This window comes from Homo sapiens, chromosome 17, assembly GCF_000001405.40.
Source record: "Homo sapiens chromosome 17, GRCh38.p14 Primary Assembly".
NCBI lineage: Eukaryota > Metazoa > Chordata > Mammalia > Primates > Hominidae > Homo > Homo sapiens.
In genome coordinates, this window is record NC_000017.11 from 64,063,601 (window position 1) to 64,084,992 (window position 21,392).

Below are 21,392 nucleotides of genomic sequence, written 5' to 3' on the forward strand. Positions count from 1 at the left end.
AAGTTAATTCTTCCATAGAAACAGTCTCAGTTTTCTTAACTATAAAATGGAAATGACAAGGGTACCTACCTCACACAGGGTTGCTGTGAGGAGTGAGGAAATGCATTCTAAAGGGCTTAATGTCGGATACTCACACAAGGTTTACATTAATTTAGTACCTGAGTTTTGGAACATTAAACAGTTTTCAAAAACTGACTCAGAAACACAGCTACCTTGTTGATTTTCCTTGGGGGTAAAAATGTCCCAAGGTCTCAGGGGCCAGCCGGGAAGGGCTCTGAGCACAAGGCCTTCCGAGCTCAGTACGGTGTAACTACCAGGGCCGGCGGTCGCCCACCAGGAGGCAGCACGCTGTCACCTCAGGCTACTGTGGGAGACCTGCTCTTACCTATCAGAAGCCAGTAATTCCTCAAGTAGTTGAGCTTGTTCTTGCTTTTGAGTCCGGGATCAAACTTGACGTCCGTGCTGGGCGTGATCACACACTCCCCCTTGTCCCCAATGGTGACGCCATCAGTCTGGGGCCCTTCCAGCAAAGGAAGTGTGCTGCCGCGGGGCTGTGGAGAGGGTGCAGTGAGGGTCAGGAGCCCTGGAGGGAGAGCGGGTCCCACGGCACACCATCCCAGCCACTGTCCTGAAAGGTGAGCAATTTCTAGTGCAGGGCTAGTCCAGGACAGAGCAAGACACAAAGGCCCAAAGTCTGGGCAAAGAAGCTTCTCCCTCAGGATGTGACAAGCTGCACTGATGTCTTTATGGACGTCTTTTTAGATTCTTATGTCTGGGTACTGGGGAACAAGAAGTGTGTGTGTAGAACTCCAAGAAGCTATTATGAGAAGCAGACATAAGTGAAGGAGAATGAATGGATATCTCTGTTAGTCACAATCTACGCAACCAATGGGGCGGAATAAAGTCCAGCCACACGCCCAGTGCTGGCTCAGGTGCTGCTGGAACTATGACAGAGGCAGGCGCTGTCTATTCACAGAAGCAGCCGCCCAAATCACTGGGAAGACAAGAGAGCCAACCACACAGCCCAAGCATTGTAGGGATCAGGACAAACAGCTAGGATTATGACGCCTTGGACTTTCAGAGACAGAATGCTTGAGGCAGGCTTGTGAGGCCCAAGGAGGCTCGGCGAGATTGCAAAAGCATGCAAAGGGTTTGAGTAGGGAAAAGGAAGAAGAAAGGGCATTTGAAGTGTGAGGTGAGGAGCAGCCTGAACAAAGGCCCCGGGGAAAGATGAACATGGGGCTTGTAGAAGTCAGGGAGAAGGTGCACATGGTTGGGCCACGCAACTCACATAGAGAAACTAACAGGGTGGAGGAAGGGCATCGTGGGACTGGATGAAGCAGGGCCATGAACACCAGCCTGGGGAGTTTAGATTTGATCACAAAAGCAAAAGGGAATAATCAGGGATTCCTCGGCTTTAAGAAGCTGTTTTTGTCATGTATCTTTCTTTCAAAGTAGAATGTGGCATGTGCAGAAACTGTTTTTGAGAACTTAAGATTTGTGTTTTTCATTCTTAACCTGCAGGATGCTCATGCATAGCAAAGTCATTCTTTGCTAAAATGGAACAGAAGTGGTTAGGCAGCTGCGAGCCCTCCGTAGTGGACTTACCACGACAGCAACCCCCTCGTGTACCATTGAGGGAGAGGCATAGAGGCTGGTAGAGTATTTCCCAACATACAGAGTGGGCCTAGGAGAAAAACAGATACATGCATTCCAGAGTCATTGAATTTCCAGATCCCACAGAAGGGAGTAATCATCACCCCAAATACCACCCGCAGGGATGACCACATTAACCCCCCAGACATGGAGGAACGCAGTAGGGGTGTGAAGCTAGGGGCACTGCCCTGGGAACAGGACCACAGGACTTCATCCCAGCTGTCACTCACTGCAGAAACATGGACAAGCCACCTAATGGCAAGCCTCAGCAAAATCGCAGGGCTGGACTAGACGATGCCCATGATGCCTGCAGAAAGGACTACGCCCAGTGGCCACAGAGGAGACTGAGTGCTTACTACCACCGCCGAGGCCCCTCAGATGACTCTCTACAACACACTTTCACTCCAGCGATCACTCCAGCGACCACCAGAACTACCCCCATTCTGCCTTGTGCTTTCTAAGGATCCTGGAGGTTTTACAGAACTCCTGAGAAATGGTCAGCTGCTCTACTCTGGATGCTGAGAGCAAAAGGGATGCATAAGAAATTCCAGACTTGGTGAGACTTCTGGTTCCCCAGCTGTGTAGTCTGTCCCCATGTGGGACATCAGGGAGACAGAAAATGGTGAGAGCTACACCTCCTGGCCCTTCTGCTTACTGTCAAGAGCCCACCTGGGATCGGTCATCCACTACATTATCTAAACCTCTCTCAACGAATACCTTACATTTGAATGCTGTTTTACAATCTAAACACTTGCCGGCATATTATCTTGTTTGATCTTCCACACAACTCTATATATAAAGTAGGAAACTGAGGCTTGGGGAGTTTAAGTGACTCGGTGATAGGCTATGAAGAGGGGGATGGAGAACAGAAGCCTGCTGAGTCTTGGACACACACACACACTGTAACTATTTTTTCTGATTTTTAAAATGAATATAACCTAAAAACTTAGAAAATATAGAAAGTTAAAAAAATAAATCTCTTGCATCCCTACCACCTAAGATAGATCCAAACTATACTTACACTGGCAGTCTCTTTCCTATACCTTTATTTGTGTGTGTGTGGTGGCAGGGGGAGGGTCTTGCCATGTTGCCCAGGTTGGCCTCAAACTCCTGTGCTCAAACAATCCTCCCACCTCAGCCTCTCAAGTAGCTGGAATTACAGGTGTATGCCATGGTGCCCGACACCTCCCATCCATGATTTTTATGTAATATTTAATAACTCTGAAGTGTTAATGGGTGCCCCTCAGCTCTTGTATTCTGAGGTTTCCAAATGAAACAGTCTTGGCTCTGAATATTCCTCATGGCTTCAGAGACTGCCCTGTCTTTGGCCTCCCGTGCAGGGCCTGCTACACTGCAACAGCACCAGAACACGAAGGCCACGGCCGCCCTCTCCTTCCCCGAGCTCCCAACTCACGTCAGCTTGCTCTTGGCCTCTGTCTCCTTGGGGAACGGGTACTTCCACTTTGTGATGCGCCCCACCTCCCCAGACATGAAGGTCAGATAGCGCAGGGTCTCCACAGCGACATTGATGTGCATCACCTTCCTCAGACCCTCCCGCTGCCAGACATAAAAGGCCACCACAGGGGAGGCGTAGTTTTGGATCCACAGGACGTCCCCAGATTCACTGTCCACAGTCACCACCAGCCCATCACCATTGGACACAAAGTGGGACATCTCTGTACAGATCAAATAAACAAAGCATGCTGAGTCTCACCCCATCTTGCAACCACATCCTCTACTCTTGTGGCAGGCTCTAGTCACTCAGTTAGAGGAAACAAGACTTCTGGAATATTCTCAGATCTCCTCTGAGCAATTTCACTTGTTTCCAATGAACTCGCTTAGTCTCTGTAATATCAAGACACTGAGAGCTGGCTGGCGTATAAACACAAGCCAGGATCACTCTCCCAAAGGCAATTTATTTGGTGATGTTCTTTAACACTCTATTCAATAAGTGAGAGTAAATACTGAGGAGGAAGGAGCCAGTGGAGATGCCTATTAATCTGGCATTTCATAGCAGTCACTTGAAACCCATCGATCAAACTGAAAGTCAGGGACAGCTGTGGTGGCTCATGTCTATAAGCCCAAGAATTTGGGAGGCTGAGGTAGGAAGATCACTTGAGTCCAGGACTTCAAGACCAGCCTGGGCAACATAGTGAGACCCCCGTCTCTACAAAAAAAAAAAAAAAAAAAAATTAGCCAGGTAGGTGGGGGAGTGGCGGTACGTGCCTGTGGTCCCAGCTACTCAGTAGGCTGAGGTGGGAAGATCGCTTGAGCCTAGGAGTTTCAGGCTGCAGTGAGCCCTGACTGCACTCCTGCACACATCCTGGGGAACAGAGGGAGAACTTGCCTCAAAAAAAAAAACAACAAAAAAACACCCTGAAAGTCAGACCTGAACCACTGACACTGTCCCATCAGATTCACAAAGGAGTCCTCAGAGAAAAACGAAAATATTCTAGGTCCTTGACAAGAAAAAGCAGAGTCCAACTTTGATACCAATGTTAAGGTGGCAAATTGGTTTTTAGTTTTCATTTGAGTTGGGTGAATGTTAACTGCAGAAATAACTAGGGATGAGTCACATTTGCAGAGTGGCCTTCTTGACAGGGTTGTTAATGTCCTATGCTGATTTTACTTCTACTTTCCATGGGCTTGCAGTAAATTCCTTCTGTGACATAGAAAGACTCAACGAGGGATGTCCTCCTTCCTCTCTGGCTAAGCTTGTCACCATTTTACTTCGGTTTCCCTTCAGACTTCACCAAGGCCCCTGCACATTGACTGTGGGAAGTATTTATGATAAGCCCATGAAAAGTCCATGGAAAGAAAGAACCTGGTGACAAAGAGTATCTTAAAAGAAAATCCTACTTTCTGGAGCCACTGTTTCCACATAGGTCAAAAGTACTGGCCCAAGCTTGTGAAATCCAGCAGAGAGCACTTACTGTAGTCCACGTCGTCCTCAGGCAGTGAGGCCGCATAGTCAAAGTAGGTGGCATTCCACCGGAGCTCTCGGGTTTTGGTGTCGTACATGGTGATGGTGTATTCTAAAGAACACAGACCAGCCAGCCCATTACCACGGAGGGGCCATAGTACCTACTGAGGTGTGGTCCTTATCTAATTATAACAAACAAATCCTCCCTAAACTGTAGGCCAAAAAGTCCAGACTATCCATGTCGATAGAGAAAGGCAATGTGAGGAGAACTGAAGGCCCAGACACATGAGTGAAACTGGCTGACAGCATGTGGAAGCAGAGACGACCCACCCTCGCTATGCCCTTGGACTCATGGCTCACAGAAGTGTAAGCAATAGAATGTTGTTGTTAGCCATTAAGCTTCGGGGTGCCTTATTACATAGCAATGGATTGCTGACAATTAAAAATTGGCACCTTGAAGCAGGATGGCGCCATAACAAACACCTAAAACATGTGGCATTGACTTTAGGACCAGCTGGCAGGTGGAGGCTGGGAGGCTGATAAAAAGGTTGGTGGAGACTTGCTAGTGCAGAGGGGGCACTGCTATTGAAAATGGAAAAGGGGTGACCCAGCTTGTGGAGGGTGCCATGATGAGCATGACTATTGCTTGCAGTAACTTGGAAGACAGAAAAAGTACCTAATCAACTCAGGGATCCAACTAAGGAGATTTCCAGACAGAAGGCAGAAAATGTTGAATGGTTTCTCTTAGCTGTCTATGATATATTGTGAGACAAATGAGCTGAGGAAGAAATCATTCAGCAGAATACAGAGGAACTATAAAGGGTCCAGGACTGAATATCGCTGGAAAAGATTCTCAATATAAAAAATAACTTTAGGGAAAAGATCAAATCCAGGGTACTGCCAGCAACAAAAAATGGGCTCAGGGTAAAGATCAACCAAATCAAAGTTGAAGCTGTAAGATCCTTCTTTGAGACCTCTGAAAGATTTTAAGGTGGTCCCTCATAGACCCTCTGCCCCCATCAAGGGAGTTCTAAAAACCATGTGTTGTCCCATTGCACTCACATTCCAAAGTCTAGAAACTTGTGGGTATGGCTTTTATCTAATGGAATAAATTATAATTTGACACATGGGAAGCCCACATAGTTTTTAAAGGAGTGGTATCAGCATAGACTAAAAGGAACAGAGACAGTCAAATTGAAAAAAAAGGGCTTCTAGATCCCCAAATTTCAATGGACAAGGAACGGACTGAGAAAGATACAAAACTGGCCATTTGTTATGGAAAAGAAAGGACTTCTCAGAGGGCAGAACCAAGAGCCACTGAGAGCACTATATTAGGGAACCAATCCCAGAGGGCAAAACTGGGCCCTAATGAAGGAATATTCCCTACCCCTGGAGGAGGGGAACCTGAAAACATGTGCCTGGCTGGATTTCAGAATTACTAAGGCCCAATGTGTGATATGTGTCTCTCTTTCCTGCCCTTTTTTGAGTGAACATGTTTACTGCAGCTATCCTGTCTCTGTCTCACCACTGCATGTTGGGTGGGGGATGGGAAGGGGAGAAAGACCCTGTCTCTTTAATTCACAGGTCTCCGATCAAGAGGTGCCACACTTGAGGAGCATCATCTACCTCCAGACCTCATGCAGATAATGAGAGGTGAGATTTTGGGACTGATGCTGGGATTGGACTTTGGGGGTCTTTGGAGGGAGTGGGAGGGTTGTAAACTACTGCAGCCTGAGGGAGGACTGCAGTAGAACATCTCTAAAGGTCACTACCACCAATTCTTCCCATTCCTGTAATGCATGTTACTCTTCCCATCAAGAAGCCGAGTCTATATCTCTACCCTTGATTCTCAGCTGGCCTTGAGACTTGCTTTGACCAACAGACTGCAGTGGAAGGAAGGTTCTGGAACTTTTGAGCCCAGACCTTAGGAGGCACTGTAACACCCATTTTTACTCAAGAGGGAGCCCGCTGCCATATCAAGAGTCCAGGCTATCTGTATGGAGAAAGGTCACACGGAACTGAACTGAAGTCTCAGATACATGAGTGAGGCCAACCAAGCATGTGGAATAAAGATGATGGGTTCTTGTTGAGTCCTTCCTGAATTCCCTACAGAATCATTAACAATAAAATGCTAAGTTGGGGTGGTTTGTCATGCAGCAATAGATAATGGAGGCAATGGATTTACACACCTATGCACACACATTCCACCTCATGCATATCCCAGCTCCTTCGAACACCACAATTTCACCTGAGAATGACGCAATTTTTATATCTGGATGAAGCTGGGGCCACTGTAAGAATTTACTTAATGGAAAAGGTAAACACATAAATCCTAAGCAGTCACTACAGTCAGAAGCTGGAATACATGATTTCTACAGTCTAAGACCTTCCACCCATTTCCAGGAGAGCCCGGCCAGCTTCTGCAGGGCCCAAGATTAGTCTCACTGAGTTTTAGAAATGCAGTGCTTTCCCCAACACTTTCAGGACGGTTCTCTTTTTTCAAATCCTTGGCTGCCTGAAAGTTTAGACCTAAATGTAGTGCTCAATTGTAATGAATTCATCCTAGGTTTTTGGTATAATTTCTTCCTTCTAAATGTTTTTTGTTTCTCCTTTTAGCTTTAAGTATCGTTCAACAATTTTCATGGCATCCCCGACATGTGTGAGGTGCTGCACATATGGTAATAAGTAAGGCAGGTCTCTGCAATAATGGGACCCACCCATTCATACATTCAAACATTGAGCCCCTGCTACACATCAGGCAATATGCCTGATGTAGAGAGACAGCAGCTGAGCAAAACAAAGTCGTACCCTCAGGGAACTGATATTCTAGTGAGGGAGGCAGGAAGTAGGCACATTGAATTTATAAATATGCAGTGCCAAGTGTTAAGAAGAAAGAGGCTGAAAAGGGAGGAAACACAAAATGGTGCGGTGAAGAGGGTGCAAGCCATGCCTGTCAAGGGACAATGACGAGGGGTGAGATGGCTGCCACTACAGGCCTGTTAACTGCTACGTGTGCCCCTAGAATGGGAGAGCCGGGTGTTCCTGAGCAGGGTGCAGGCTGTGAGGCTGCAGAAGAGGCTTCACAGAGAAGGTGACTTTTGAGTACAGTTGTGAGAGAGGATATTTGCCAGATAGGCAAAAACAGGCATACCTGGTGGAGAGGACCACACCACTACAAGTCTTTAAAAACAACACTGCTATTCTGGGAGCTGCAGGTAGTTCATCCTAATTGGGAAACTTTTTTTTTTTTGGGCAGGGGGGATGGAGTTTTACTCTTGTTGCCCAGGCTGGAGTGCAGTGGCTTGATCTTGGCTCACTGCAACCTCCACCTCCCCAGTTCAGGCAATTCTCCTGCCTCAGCCTCCTGAGTAGCTGGGATTACAGGCACATGCCACCACACCTGACTAATTTTGTATTTTTTTAGTACAGATGGGGTTTCGCCATGTTGGTCAGGCTGGTCTCGAACTCCTGACCTCAGGTGATCCACCTGCCTCGGCCTCCCAAAGTACTGGAATTACAGGCGTGAGCCACCACGCCCGGCCAGGCAACTTTGAAATGAGAGAAATGAGGCGAGAAAGGTGGCAGCGGCGTCACAGGGGTTTTTCTGGGCCGTGGTGCAGTTTGGACTGTATCCCTTGCACACTGGGGGGACACTGAAGGGTCTTATAAAGGAAAATGACATGATGGGACCTGTGTTTGGAAAAAAGCAGCTCTGGCCACCTTCTAGGGAAGGAGGCTGGGGAGCTTCTTCCGATCTTCTGGAAACAGGCAGGTTGTAGAAGACAAAGGTTCATTTCTTACCTGTTCGCCCAAGATACAGAAGAGAGGTTGATGGGCAGAGACTATCTGCAAAGGCCGATGACAAAGTCTGCTGCTTCTCTCCGGTCAGGAGGTCAATAACATACCAGATGTCCTGCTTTTTACCTGAAAGGACACAAAAACACATCGTCGTTTACACCATATGGAAAAAAGTATCGCTGCCAAACTAGCAGCCAAGATGCTCTGTATTGAGAGAGATAGACCTGAATTTCTTAGGATGTCATTTCTAAGGTGATGATATAAATGGTAATGCAGAGATAATAAAACTTCTTAGGTCCATAGGTCTTATAATAATTTAATAACCTAAACATGGTATACAAATTCCTCCAAACCCAATAACATAATTATAGTTTCAAAAAGTTCCCCAAACTTTCAAGTTAGATTTTATTGCTTTGATGAGTGGCTTTAAATATGAAAAGTCTTGCCTGTGAAGGGCAATCCTTTTCCCGTGGACTGGGATCTATAGAAATACAGAAATGTGCCCAGGGGTTCATCTCCCTAATAACCATCATTCACATTTCTCAACCTCCCTAATAACCAGCCACCATGTGAGAAGGATCCACAGTTACTGTTTATGACTATAATTAACTAGTACCTGGGACTGGTCAGTGGAGTTGGTTGCAACCTGATGCTAAGGATGTCAAAGTTGTCTCGGCCTCTGTTCCCAGCCAGTAAGTAATTCCCTGGCCTCGGGCCATACCCCCTAATCTTGGTCAGCTGATTATGACAGGCAGACAGCACAGTAAATAACACTATATATTAAGAAAACCCAAAGCATATGTATCAATGGTATATACCCAACAGCATCCTAGGAATGGAGAGTCTGTAGCAAGGGCCTCCAATGTGAAGGTCAACACAGTCACTGTGATGCGTGTATTTCCATTTTGTAAAGCATGATCTCTGGTGGTCATTTTTATCTTCCTAACTTATTGGAAAAGTCTCCTGTTTTGGAGACTCTTAGAAGAAGAATATTGAGATGCTGGAGAAGGTCACAGAGCCTTTGAAATTTTTTTTTTTTTTTTTTTGAGACAGAGTCTTGCTCTGTCGCCCAAGGAGGAGTACAGAGGTGTGGTCACGGCTCACTGCAGCCTCAAACTCCTGGACTCAAGTCATCCTTTTGCCTCAGCCTCCCCATAGTTGAGACTACAGGCATGTGCCACTATGCCTGGCTCTTTTTTTATTTTTTTTGGGATGGAGTCTCGCTCTGCCGCCCAGGCTGGAGTGCAGTGGAGTGATCTCGGCTCACTGCAACCTCCACCTCCCAGGTTCAAGCGATTCTCCTGCCTCAGCCTCCTGAGTAGCTGGGACTACAGGTGCGTGCCACCACACCCAGCAAATTTTTTTTTTTTTTTTTTTTTAGTAGAGACAGGGTTTCACCGTGTTAGTCAGGATGGTCTCCATCTCCTGACTTCGTGATCCACCCAACTCGGCCTCCCAAAGTGCTGGGATTACAGGTGTGAGCCACCATGCCCGGCCACCTGGCTAATTTTTATTTATTTTTTATTTTTTTTGAGACGGAGTCTCGCTCTGTCGCCCAGGCTGGAGTGCAGTGGTGCAATCTCAGCTCACTGCAACCTCCGCCTCCAGGGTTCAAGCGATACTGCTGCCTCAGCCTCCTGAGTAGCTGGGACTACAAGCATGTGCTACCACGCTTGGCTTATTTTTCGTATTTTTAGTAGAGATGGGGTTTCACTGTGTTAGCCAGGATGGTCTCGATCTCCTGACCTCGTGATCTGCCCGCCTCAGCCTCCCAAAGTGTTGGGATTACAGGCGTGAGCCACTGCACCTGGCCTACACCTGGCTGATTTTTTAAAAATGTTTCTTCTGTAGAGACGGGGTCTCACTATGTTGACCAGGCTAGTTTCAAACTCCTGGCCTCAAGCAAACCTCCTGCCTCACCCTCCCAAGGTACTGGGATTACAGTTGTGAGCCACTGCACCTGGCCTGTAATTTGCTAATGCTATACCTCTAAAGTTCTAACAGATGTTGCATACATGCCTGCTCCACATGTGTGCAACTTACCCATGGATCGCAACTCTGTTCTCACTGACAAAATCATAATATGAATATGATCTGAAGGTAGAGGAGAACAGAGCTAGGACCACGAACCTTTTCCATCTAGCATGACATAGCTGGTTACTTCAAGAACCACTAGAGTTTACATAACTCAGTTATTACTTTAATGGGTAGATTGGGCAACTACCATGCTCTTAAATATGTTTAATGAACTCGCCTAAGAGGCCACAGCACAAAGATGATAAGAAGACAATATCCTAAGCAGACTATAAGTGATGAATTGCTGGCAAAAGCTGGAAGACCAGATAGGACACAGTGACATGGATGGTCAGAAGATTATCAGATGTTCCCAGGTCACGGCCCACAGAGAGAAAAATCTGTGCCGATCGTTTCCTCCAAATTCCTAGGCTGGGAGTTCCTCATTCTGAAGGTGTGGAAGGAAGCAAGAGTCTCAGTGTCCTGAGCAAAACCTTAAAAGTCTGGCCTGCACTTGAGACCCAGAAATACACATAAAGCTCCTCGAGGCATGAATAGGCAATAAGCACTTTCAGTTCCTCAAAAAGAAAGCTGCTGTATAAATACGGGCTATTATTGCTACTATGATTTCAAGATAAATACAGCTCTCCTTTGTGTTGCAAATGCTTTTTTATTGACATTTTGGCAGCAACATAGTAAAAGAAAAGCAGGTGATCTGATGCTTTGAAAGCTGTGACCCCATAGGTATGAAGGCAGTTTATCTAGGCAAGCTATTAAGTGCTGTTCTATCAAACATTCTGATAGCAGGAAATACTAAGAAAGCGCTATAATTAACAGGCAGAGCCTGGCTTTCCTTCCTTGGCTTAGATGATTGTACTCACTTTAAATTTCATCCATTTGCCACTGGGTATGTTGCAATCTTGGAATCTCAGGACTAAGTCAACACAGCAACTAAAAGCTTGTTAAATGAGTAACCATATTAATGATGTCAATTCTTCTCCCAAGTTGGGGGAGCCCTTTCTTAATTGGTCAGCTGATCCTGGGGAGAACAGCACCTGAAGCACAACCCAGGAAAGAAAGGGTTGGCAAGGCGGTGACTGCGCCCTCTCTCTCCGCATGCCACTTTCCCAGATTCCGGGACTTACATCAAAGAGACACAAGTTTCTGGAGACAGGAACTCTTACCCATGTAGAGGATTCCATCTGAACTTCGGCATGGGGATGCCTGCACCAATTCTGGGATGGTAAAAGGAAGTTTCTTTAAAAAAAAAAAAAAAGAAAAAAAAAAGTTAACCAAGTCTTGTGCAATTATTACAATTTTACCAGGCAGTTTGTTTCTATTACCTAATTCTGCTAAAAAGAGAGAAGCACTTTGCAGATGAGAGTTTTCCTAACTGAATACAAAGGAGAAGGGGGCACCCTATGCTTCCACATCTACTGTGTTTTTATTTTCATTTTTTTGAGACAGGGTCTCATTCTGTCGCCCAGGCTGGAGTGCAGTGGCACCATCTTGGCTCACTGCAACCTCTGCCTCCTGGGTTCAAGTGATTCTCTCACCTCAGCCTCCCAAGTAGCTGGGATTACAGGCATGTTGCCACTACACCCAGCTAATTTTCCACATCTATTTTGACAAGCTCCCAGGTCCCTGAGCTCTGTAAACATCCACTCCTTTACTTGACACCATGTGCAGAGGCCCCTCAAGGTCTCCTGTCCAGGGTGCTTCCCAGGGGTGACACAAACCTTTTCTGAAAAGATTTACACAAATATGGAGAGTTATATATTCTTTGAAATGCTAAGAAAGAATTGTCCTGGCTTGGAATACAGAGCCAGAGCTGGCTAGACTGAGTAAAATGACAGTGCTTTGTAGAGCCCCATGGGAGGGAGCCAGGACATTGATGCTGAAGGGATGCAACCTTGGTGCCAAGCTCAAGCTTCGAGGGAAAGGAGAAGTCGCCATTACAGGGGCAACACAAGAGTTTGAGGTGGAAAAGAGTTTTGATGTTTTCTTCAGTAAATAATTCACTATTGAAAAACAAGAAAAATTGAGACTTTTGGTTTTAAAGAGGAAGTTAAGATAGGTGCCAGGAAAAGAAACTCAAAGGAATCCAAATGTTTCAACTGCATTTCATCATAAAACTGATTCTTCTGAGTCTACAGCTGACATCTGACGAGCTCTTTTGGTTAATGCTTGTTTCAGTATACTTTATTTTTAGAACATTCTGTGTTTTTGAAATTGTTCTATAGATACCTGCTTTTATAGAAATGCCTCTACTGCATGGTCACCTTTTTCTCCAAGAAAGAAAAGATTTCTCTCTAGCTTTAATAAGCAGAGCTTTGCATACTAAATAACTTGGATTTTCCCATCATCCCAACATTCAAACCAAGCCTCAGAGGAGGAAAAATGCTTCAGAGAGGCTGCAATGACTGGGTTTTGCCATGTGTTTCTGAGAATCAGAAAGGCACTGCAGATCTTCTAGTCTTCTGGAGTCCTGTGGTCTCTGCTGAGCACTGCCACTGGTGCCCTGATTCAAGGCCCAAGCTTGGGAAACATTGTTTCTGGAGCTGCTAAACCACAACCCAGAAAGGAGCACAAGGGAGTGATGAAGGGCATCCTCTTTTTTTTTTTTTTTGAGACGGAGTCTCACTCTCACCCAGGCTGAAGTGCAGTGGCGTGATCTCGGCTCACTGCAAGCTCCGCCTCCCGGGTTGATGCCATTCTCCTGCCTCAGCCTCCCAAGTAGCTGGGACTACAGGCGCCCGCCACTGCGCCTGGCTAATTTTTTGTATTTTTTAGTAGAGACGGGGTTTCACCGTGTTAGCCAGGATGGTCTCGATCTCCTGACCTTGTGATCCGCCCGCCTCGGCCTCCCAAAGTGCTGGGATTACAGGCCCGGCTGGGCATCCTCTTTAAGAACCAACTCCAACACTAGAAGACTCAGCCCTGGACATATTCCTTCACTTCTCCAGGCTGTTTCCACACCTCTAAAACGGGGATATCACCCACAGGGCTGCTGAGAGATTCCAATGAGATAACTTATACAACTCACTCACCCCAGTTTCTGGCAAACAAATTGCTTAAGAAATGGGGACTACAGAGCTGTGGAGAGAAACCAACGGAGAGCAGTGTTGAAGGTGAAATACACACAGCTCTATACAAACTTGCCCTCCTCCCCTCTGTTTTGGTCACAGGCATTCACAAAATAATTTTAAAACACCCAAGTTAAAGTCCACAATCCACTTACAGCCTAGATCAGTGGTTCTCATCCTTGGTTGCCCATGAGAATTACTTGGAAGCTTTAAAAACTTCCTACTGATGCATAATACGCAAACAGAAAAGCACTCATCATCACACAGCTCAGTCAAGTTTCACAAAGTGAACATACCCACGTAACCGGCATCCAGGTGAAGAAACAGAAGCCCCCCTCCTCTCTTGCCCCCCTTTCTAGCCATAACTCTCCAGGGGTAACTATTATCCTAACTTCAAAACAGCAGAGACTCGTTTTTCCTGTTTTTGGCTTTACATAAGTGAATGGCAGCGTGTGGCCTTTTTTGTCTGTCATGTTTTGCTCAACATCACGCTTGTGAGTCATCCGCGGCGTGTGTCGTCATAGACTGTTGGTCCTCATCACCGTGCATGCCGCTTCCAGAGTTTATTTTTCCACTCCACTGTGGATGTTATTTGGCCACCCTCTGCTTATTATAAATGGTGCTGCTGTACATTTGGGCACATGTCCATTGGTGAACAAAAGTGCATTTCTTCTTTTTTTTTTTTTTGAGATGGAGTCTCGCTCTGTTGCCCAGGCTGGAGTGTAGTGGCGTGATCTCAGCTCACTGCAAGCTCCACCTCCCGGGTTCACGCCATTTTCCTGCCTCAGCCTCCCAAGTAGCTGGGACTATAGGCGCCCGCCACCGCACCTGGCTAATTTTTTGTATTTTTAGTAGAGACGGGGTTTCACCATGGTCTCGATCTCCTGACCTCGTGATCCGCCCACCTTGGCCTCCCAAAGTGCTGGGATTACAGGCATGAGCCACCGCACCCAGCCACAAATGTGCATTTCTGTTGGGTCTGTAACCTAGGAGGGCATTACTGGGTCCTAAGGACTTTAGCACTTACTGCCAACAGTTTTCCAAATCACTTGTGCCACCCTGCACTTCCGCCAGCAGTAGGTGAGAGTCCTGGTTGCTCCACATCACCAACATGTTTTCTTTTTCTACTTTCCTTGTTTTGGCCATTCTGGTGAGTAGCAGTATGGCACTGTGGCTTTAATTTGCATTTCCAAATGACTAATAAAATGGAACATCTTTTCATATGTTTATGACCATTTGGATATTCTCTTCTGTTATTCTTCCATTGGGCTGTCTTTTTTTAACGTACCATAGGATTTCTTCATATATTCTGAATATGAACTTTTGTTGGATGTGTATACTACAAATACTTTGTGGCCTCTTAATGAGGAAAAGTTCTTAATTTTAATATAATCAATATATTGATTTTTTCCTAAATTTATAGTGTTCTTTAATATCCTACTTAATAAATCTCTACTTACTCTAAGATCATGAAGATGGTTCCATTACTTTTTTTCTTAAAGCTTTATTATTTTGCATTTCACATTTAGATGTGTGATCTATCTGGAACTGATTTTATATGTGTTGTAGGGGGGTAGGAGTCAATACTTTTATTCCTATATGGATATCCCAATTGACCTACACCACTTATTGCAAAAACACTGTAAGCTGGGTGGTGGTGGCTCACGTCTGTAATCCCAGCACTTTGGGAGGCTGAGGTGGGTGGATCGCTTGAGCCCAGAAGTTGGAGACCAGCCTAGGCAATATGATGAAACCCCATTTCTACCAAAAATACAAAAAATTAGCTGGGCGTGGAGATGTACACCTGTGGTCCCAGCTACTCAGGAGGCTGAGGTGGGAGGCTGGCTTGAGCCTGTGAGACGGAGGTTGTAGTGAGCCAAGATTGTGCCACTGCATTCCAACCTGGGTGACAAAGTGAGACCCTGTCTCAAAAGAAAAGAGAAAAGACAAGACAGGACACTGCAGTGTCACCTTTGTCACATATCAGATGACCATATGTGTGGGCCTGTTTCTAAATTCTCTTATCTGGGGAGCTTTTAAAAAGTCCTGATGACTTAGATCAATTAAATCGGGACCTTCTGGGATTGGGCCCTATGTTCTAGGTCCTAATGCTGTTTTTTCGAATTCCAGGTTATTACAATGTATAATTAAGGCTGAAAACCACTGGTTTAGATTCTCAAATGGAAATGAGGGTAGAATATCACATGACTCCCTTAAGGAGTCATCGGAAGGTGGGGCAGGTGGAGACAGCATTTCAAACTATATCCCTCCCTCCTAAGGTGAGGGTCACCAGTTAGAGCAAACCCTGTTCTTAACATTATATCCTCCAGTGTATGGGCTGGGCCATGAGAACCTGCTGGTCTGCATCCGTGTTTCTGAACTCTGGCACCACATTTAAAAGCTCATTTAGGAAGCTCTCTGAAAAGACTGATGCCCAGGCTCCTCTCTAGACCACCTGAATCAGAATCCCCAGGGGTTGTTTTTAAAAGCTCCAGGTGGGAGACACAGTAAGACACTGTGCAGACACACTTAAGGACCGCTGGTCTAGAACCCCTGGAGTACAAAAAGCAGCTAAATATACTCACCGTCAGGCCTTCATTATTCTTGCTTCCAAGCGTATACAGGCTGCCATCATTAGGATCTGGGAGAAAGGCAGGCCTAGAGATTAAATAATAAATATCAAAGATAAATTACAGCCCAGGGCATGGAACAACATACCAAAGCCACGCAAACCCATGATGGAGGAATAGAGAGTGGAGGGTGGTTGTGTGTAGGTGTATAAGTGAGTATATAAGACAATTCCACCCACTACTCTCTCTCACTTCAACCACAGATAAATAAAATACCCCTATGGTGGTATACACTATCCTTGAGTGGAGAAAAGCGGCCTGAAAGGAAAAATCATACAAAACCATAGAAGACAAATTATCATTTGGTCAAAGCACTCTGGATGAAGGCAAAATATGTGAAAAGGACCCAGTAAGTCCACTTTTCAATTTCTACATCAATTGTATATAGAACTCCAGCCATTAATATTTGATAGGATGGCATGGTACATAAACAGGTAGAACAAATCTGCTTTTAGTTTTCAAGAGATATTTTTTGTTTAACTGGAGGCAATAAAAGCAGACTCTAACAGCTTGACATCAGAGAGAACCCGCCAAGGGGACAGATCAAGGTCCCTCCGTCAGTAGCTTCCCTTGAAGCAGATGTGAAGTGGTCTTTTGTCAAGTTAATCTGCTAAAGACTAAACTATAACTACAGTCCCTCAGAAACCCTTGGCTGAATCGTTCCTTAGGTTGTGCCATCATTTAAGGCTCTTACCAGTGCTATCCAGCTTTTACCCCAACACACACTCTGTAGTAGCAGGTCACATTCACCTTTTTTCTCCATGATATGACACAGCAAAGAGGAAGAGGTCCAGTCCCCCTGAGGACTTTGGAAGTTTAAGTTCAAAGCTCAACTTGAGTTTCATCTCAAATAAGCCTTTTTAAAACCACTACCCTTCTCCCTCAGGAAACTGACCACCTCCTCCTCAACACAAGCTTTCATCATAGCACCTGTAAGACTTTATATGTCACTCACTGTTATTCCTCAAACTTACACATATATGCACTCCCAGCAACTGGCCTCATAAACACTGATTGAATGAAGAAGACTGAATTAAAGGGAAGTACTGAGCGAATCAGAAAACTTACTCTTCCACATGTGTTGGGACCTGCAGGACTGGATCTGTGCAAAAGAACAACAAAGCCATCATCAGAAACATCCCAAAATGTCAAGATTCCCAGAGGCTTCCCAGGACCAGGCCAAGTTGTACCGGTAATAACTTTCTCCCTCCTGTTAACCTACATGGGCTAGTGCACGTGAAGGTTATATGCATTTTTGTATCACCGTGCATATCTTTTAGAAAACATATCCACAATGATGCAAATGTAAGCTCTTGGATAGTTACTGAGGCTGGATAGAGAACTGAGACCAGAACAGAACTGCTTTCAAGAAACTTGCATATAACTTGGGGGATGGATGCAGAACGAAGAACCAGTCACCACACACCGTGGACAAGGGGTCAGAGCATCACTATCTGACACCTCAAAGACTTCTAAAACCTTAATCATTACCTTGTCCGATGCCTGGAGTAGCTCTACATATTCCCATTAGGAAAAGTAAAATGGGTTTAAGAACTAACTTTGATTGGCCAGTAAATGGACACACCTCTTTGGAGCGGCAATTCTAGAGCCTCCAAGTGTTCATTCCCTTTGGCCCCCCCATTGCATTTTTATAAAATCTAATTTAAAGACAATATAAACTATAGAAAATGGTTTTTGTACAAAGATGTGTACGTAGCAGCATTACAAATGACCTACCCAATAATATGGTTAAGTTATAGAATGTCCACTTGGCAAAAAATTAAGGCTTCTAAGAGGGCTAATAAAATTTTAAGACATATACAAACCTATGCTATTATGTTCAGGAGAAAAGATAACATTGTACATAGAGTATTAATGCAACTATGGGGAAAGGCTTCAATGTACCTAATTAGATGGAAAGATCAAAAATGCTAATTGTAAGTTATCCTTGTTGGAAATGCAACTCCCCCCAACCTTTTCTATATCTTAAAATTTCTGCAAGAGCAGGCATTACTTTTTAAATTGAGAACACGTTTTTTTCTCTAAGTCAATTTTACATTTGCAGCAATTAATGGCAGAATTCTTCCCTCCCTAGATTTTCCTGGGCACAAAGCAAGAGGAAGCTCCTGATTCCAGGGGCAGATGGTGGTGGCAGTGAGAGAGCATGAACACTGGCACAGCAGCACTGTGTAGTGACAGATCCAAAAGTCCGCAGGCAGGAGACTCACAGCGATGAGGTATTTCCAGCAACCAAAACCCCACAGCCATGCTATACACAACTTAATCTCTGGGGGGCAAGAACAGCAAGTATTCTTACATGATTTTGTATGCAGAATTCCAGACTCTGTAGGCTCTGCTTATGGTGACAGACGGCTGTCCAATCCATCCAATTATTGGATGAAGGAAAATCTTTTAAGCCTTATCATATGTTGACTTTGCTTAAAAGCCCAGCTCCTATACAAAGGCATATGGTGTTCACAACAACAGAGGTGTACACACACCATATGCGGTCTGTGGGCAGCAAACAAACAACTCACTAAACCAAAAACACTCTAGGAAACAGGAAGAACTTTCAGTCAGTAAGCACATGTTTATCTTTCCCATTAATCACCTCTCGGTACACTCTCACAAACAGACTGATGCAAGAGACAGGAAATAAAGGCACACCACACTCATCCTACTGAAACAAGCTAGTCAAGGTGCAATAACCCAGTTATTTTAACACCGGCCTGAAGGCATGCAAGCCAAGAAGAGCAAGAATATCATATTCCGAAGAAAACACAGCAGTAAAATGGCATCTTTTTTGTTTGTTTCAGCCACTTAAAGGTATCACAGATAAACACAGATTAAGAGGACATGGCCAAATTCCAGGAATTCACCAGAAACAAGACATGCAGACCAACATGATTTAAATTCCTGTTCATAACCTGATCTTTGCTGTACAGTGTTTGCTCAGTCACACAGACTCGTCTTCAGATGCAGATTTTCCTGGTTTTCTATAGCTTATCCACTGGTCACCTGACACTGAGGCCTCAGGTCCCAAGATATGCCCTGTATCAGGAAGGTTCCAGTTAAGATTCAGGACATTGGCAGGAGACAGGGGAAGATTCCCGGGACAACTACATTGGTGTTTAAGAACTGTGATTTTTTTTTTCTAGGCTTAGGAGAAGATAAACTCCAGTAGGAGGGCCTTATGGTTATCTTAGCATTTCCCATCCACTCAGTAAAATAAGCACCTGGAATAAGCCTCTTCAAAGCTGCAGCCCAGGTAAAGACACAATTATTAAGACAGTTCTGACAGAGGCAGACACACTGCTGCTTGGCTTCTGAAATGTAACAATGACCTAATTCTGTAAATGTTTTTCTTTAAGAATCATCTGAATTCAAGATTTGCTTTAAAATACTACAGAAAATAATTATACGGGGGGCGGGGAGGACAGATAAAACAAGAAGTGGCAGGCTGTTGATAACAGTTAAAGATGAGACACGGGAACACTGGAGTGTTATTTTACTACTCTCTGTACATATGGTTAAATTTTTTCATATTAAAAAAGGTTAAAGAGAAAATTATCTTTGGAAAGTCAGCAAAAATAAAAAGAGCATTATCTGAAAATGTGCACTAAAAGAGTAACATGAAAAAGTGGTTTTGATTTAATAATGAGAACTGATATCAGGTAAGATTCTTGCTTTAAAAAAAAAAGTTTTCAGCCATGTGAAAAGAAACACTGTCCTACCTGTAGGGATGTAAACAAATACTGCTGTAAAATAAGCCACTATCTATATGGGGCCCGATAAGAATAAAAGCCAATGTCACCAAGTTGTTTTACTTTCAGAAAAAAAAAGTTGTGGGGGAGTTACTTCACAAATATAAAAAGTGGCTGTTATGTAAGGTAAAGGTAAGGTTATCTGGTAAAGGTAGAGGGAAAATATAGCTGAAATCAAGGTTTGGTCTCCCAGGATTAACACGGGAAAGAAACAAACCTGCTCACTGATCCCCTGGGAGCAGCCACTGGCCTCAACTCCACTCCCCGGCCCCCATCGTGTGTCCAGCTGAGGCCTGGAATGGCACAAGTTTTACACCTGCAGGAACTGACATCCTGGGTGAGGTCACAAGATGCTCATTGCTAGGCTAATCTAAATCACTTCTTTAAGCTCAAATAACAAAACAGACGTCCACATCTTTCCTTTGTCCAAGTTCATAAGGGTAAAGTTTTAAACATTTCTGTCCCCAAAAGCAGTGAATTTTTGTCCCCACTCCCTCCTCCACACAGGGAGGAACATTGCCAGCTTCTCCCTTCAGCCTTTCTTCTCACTCAGAGAGCACATGCCTCTCTATAACTTCCACCCTAACCACAGTGGGGTTCTAGGCTCCCCTCTCCCGGGTCCTTTCTCTGGATCAACTGGACACGCCCACTACTTCCCACCAACGCCTCAGCCTCTGCTTGCCCAAGTCACGCCCTCTGTCTTTTGCCTGAGACTGGCTTCTACTCCTGACTACCGTATTTTATTAACAGTACCACCATTCTCCTAGAAGAAAGCCATGACTCAAACGACACTGTTGATGTCTATTTCTCCCTAACACATGCTATCAGTTGCCAAACTCTGTGGTCTGTTTCGATGCCAACCATAATTCTGTGTCCTGTTCCCATTCCCTTCAACACCATAGGAACCCTTTGTCTCTCAAGCCTTCCCTCCTCTCTTAATCTGTGTGGACTTTGGAATCAGACAAACCAAGGCATAAATCCTGGCTCTGCCAATCACCAGCTGAGTGACCTTGGCAAAGTTACTTAAGCTCGTGGAGCCTCAATTTCCTCATCAGTAAGGAAAAAAAAAATAGAGATAACATCAACCTCATGGGGCATCTCTATGTGGATTAAATGTTTGTCAAGACTATAAGTCAATGCCTTGACACTGAGAAGAGTGATCCTTTTAAAGGCATAAATCAGATTAAGCTTCTCTGTGACTCAAAATCCTTTGGTGGTTCCCCATCTCACTCAGTGAAGGCCAGTGTTTACACAGTGGTTCATAAATCCCAAGCAGTCCCTCCCTTTCAACCTGTCACCCTTTAACAATCTCCCACTATTTCCCACACACTCCATTCCAGCCATGCCGGCCTCCAAGTATTCAACAAGCACTGCCAGGCCTGCCCATGCCTCAGGACCTTTGCACTGGCTGTTCCTCTGCCTAGGTCTTTGATCAACTGTTGCCACCTCAGAGCGGTCTTCCATGATCACCTCCTACTGCCCAGGATTTCCAACCCTTCTTCCCTGCTTAATTTTTCTCCAT

General features: G+C 44.9%; 1 protein-coding gene across 1 annotated transcript in view, besides 5 other annotated features; it reads right to left on the minus strand.

Moving 5' to 3' along the window:
• The window catches only part of ERN1 (endoplasmic reticulum to nucleus signaling 1), a 91,003-nt gene that overhangs the window by 24,459 nt on the left and 45,152 nt on the right, over positions 1–21,392 (minus strand). Inside the window, exons 3-10 of the mRNA NM_001433.5 lie at positions 17,175–17,208; positions 16,062–16,134; positions 11,575–11,647; positions 8,381–8,503; positions 4,590–4,691; positions 3,071–3,332; positions 1,609–1,687; positions 386–551 (exon numbers count right to left, since the gene is read on the minus strand). Of these exons, the coding sequence (NP_001424.3) occupies positions 386–551; positions 1,609–1,687; positions 3,071–3,332; positions 4,590–4,691; positions 8,381–8,503; positions 11,575–11,647; positions 16,062–16,134; positions 17,175–17,208 (912 nt within the window). The remainder of the gene's footprint in view (positions 1–385; positions 552–1,608; positions 1,688–3,070; positions 3,333–4,589; positions 4,692–8,380; positions 8,504–11,574; positions 11,648–16,061; positions 16,135–17,174; positions 17,209–21,392) is intronic.
• Positions 494–543: an enhancer, noted in NCBI's record as "active region_12577". NCBI's record gives its function as "activates an Ori minimal core promoter by ATAC-STARR-seq in GM12878 lymphoblastoid cells {active_cell/tissue: GM12878}" and the evidence as "EXISTENCE:reporter gene assay evidence [ECO:0000049][PMID:35858748]".
• Positions 10,806–10,865: a silencer, noted in NCBI's record as "silent region_8838". NCBI's record gives its function as "represses an Ori minimal core promoter by ATAC-STARR-seq in GM12878 lymphoblastoid cells {active_cell/tissue: GM12878}" and the evidence as "EXISTENCE:reporter gene assay evidence [ECO:0000049][PMID:35858748]".
• Positions 11,086–11,165: an enhancer, noted in NCBI's record as "active region_12578". NCBI's record gives its function as "activates an Ori minimal core promoter by ATAC-STARR-seq in GM12878 lymphoblastoid cells {active_cell/tissue: GM12878}" and the evidence as "EXISTENCE:reporter gene assay evidence [ECO:0000049][PMID:35858748]".
• Positions 11,349–11,643: a silencer, noted in NCBI's record as "tiled region #10488; K562 Repressive non-DNase unmatched - State 15:Elon". NCBI's record gives its function as "represses a minimal TATA promoter and a strong SV40 promoter by Sharpr-MPRA in K562 cells {active_cell/tissue: K562}" and the evidence as "EXISTENCE:reporter gene assay evidence [ECO:0000049][PMID:27701403]".
• Positions 18,758–18,877: an enhancer, noted in NCBI's record as "active region_12579". NCBI's record gives its function as "activates an Ori minimal core promoter by ATAC-STARR-seq in GM12878 lymphoblastoid cells {active_cell/tissue: GM12878}" and the evidence as "EXISTENCE:reporter gene assay evidence [ECO:0000049][PMID:35858748]".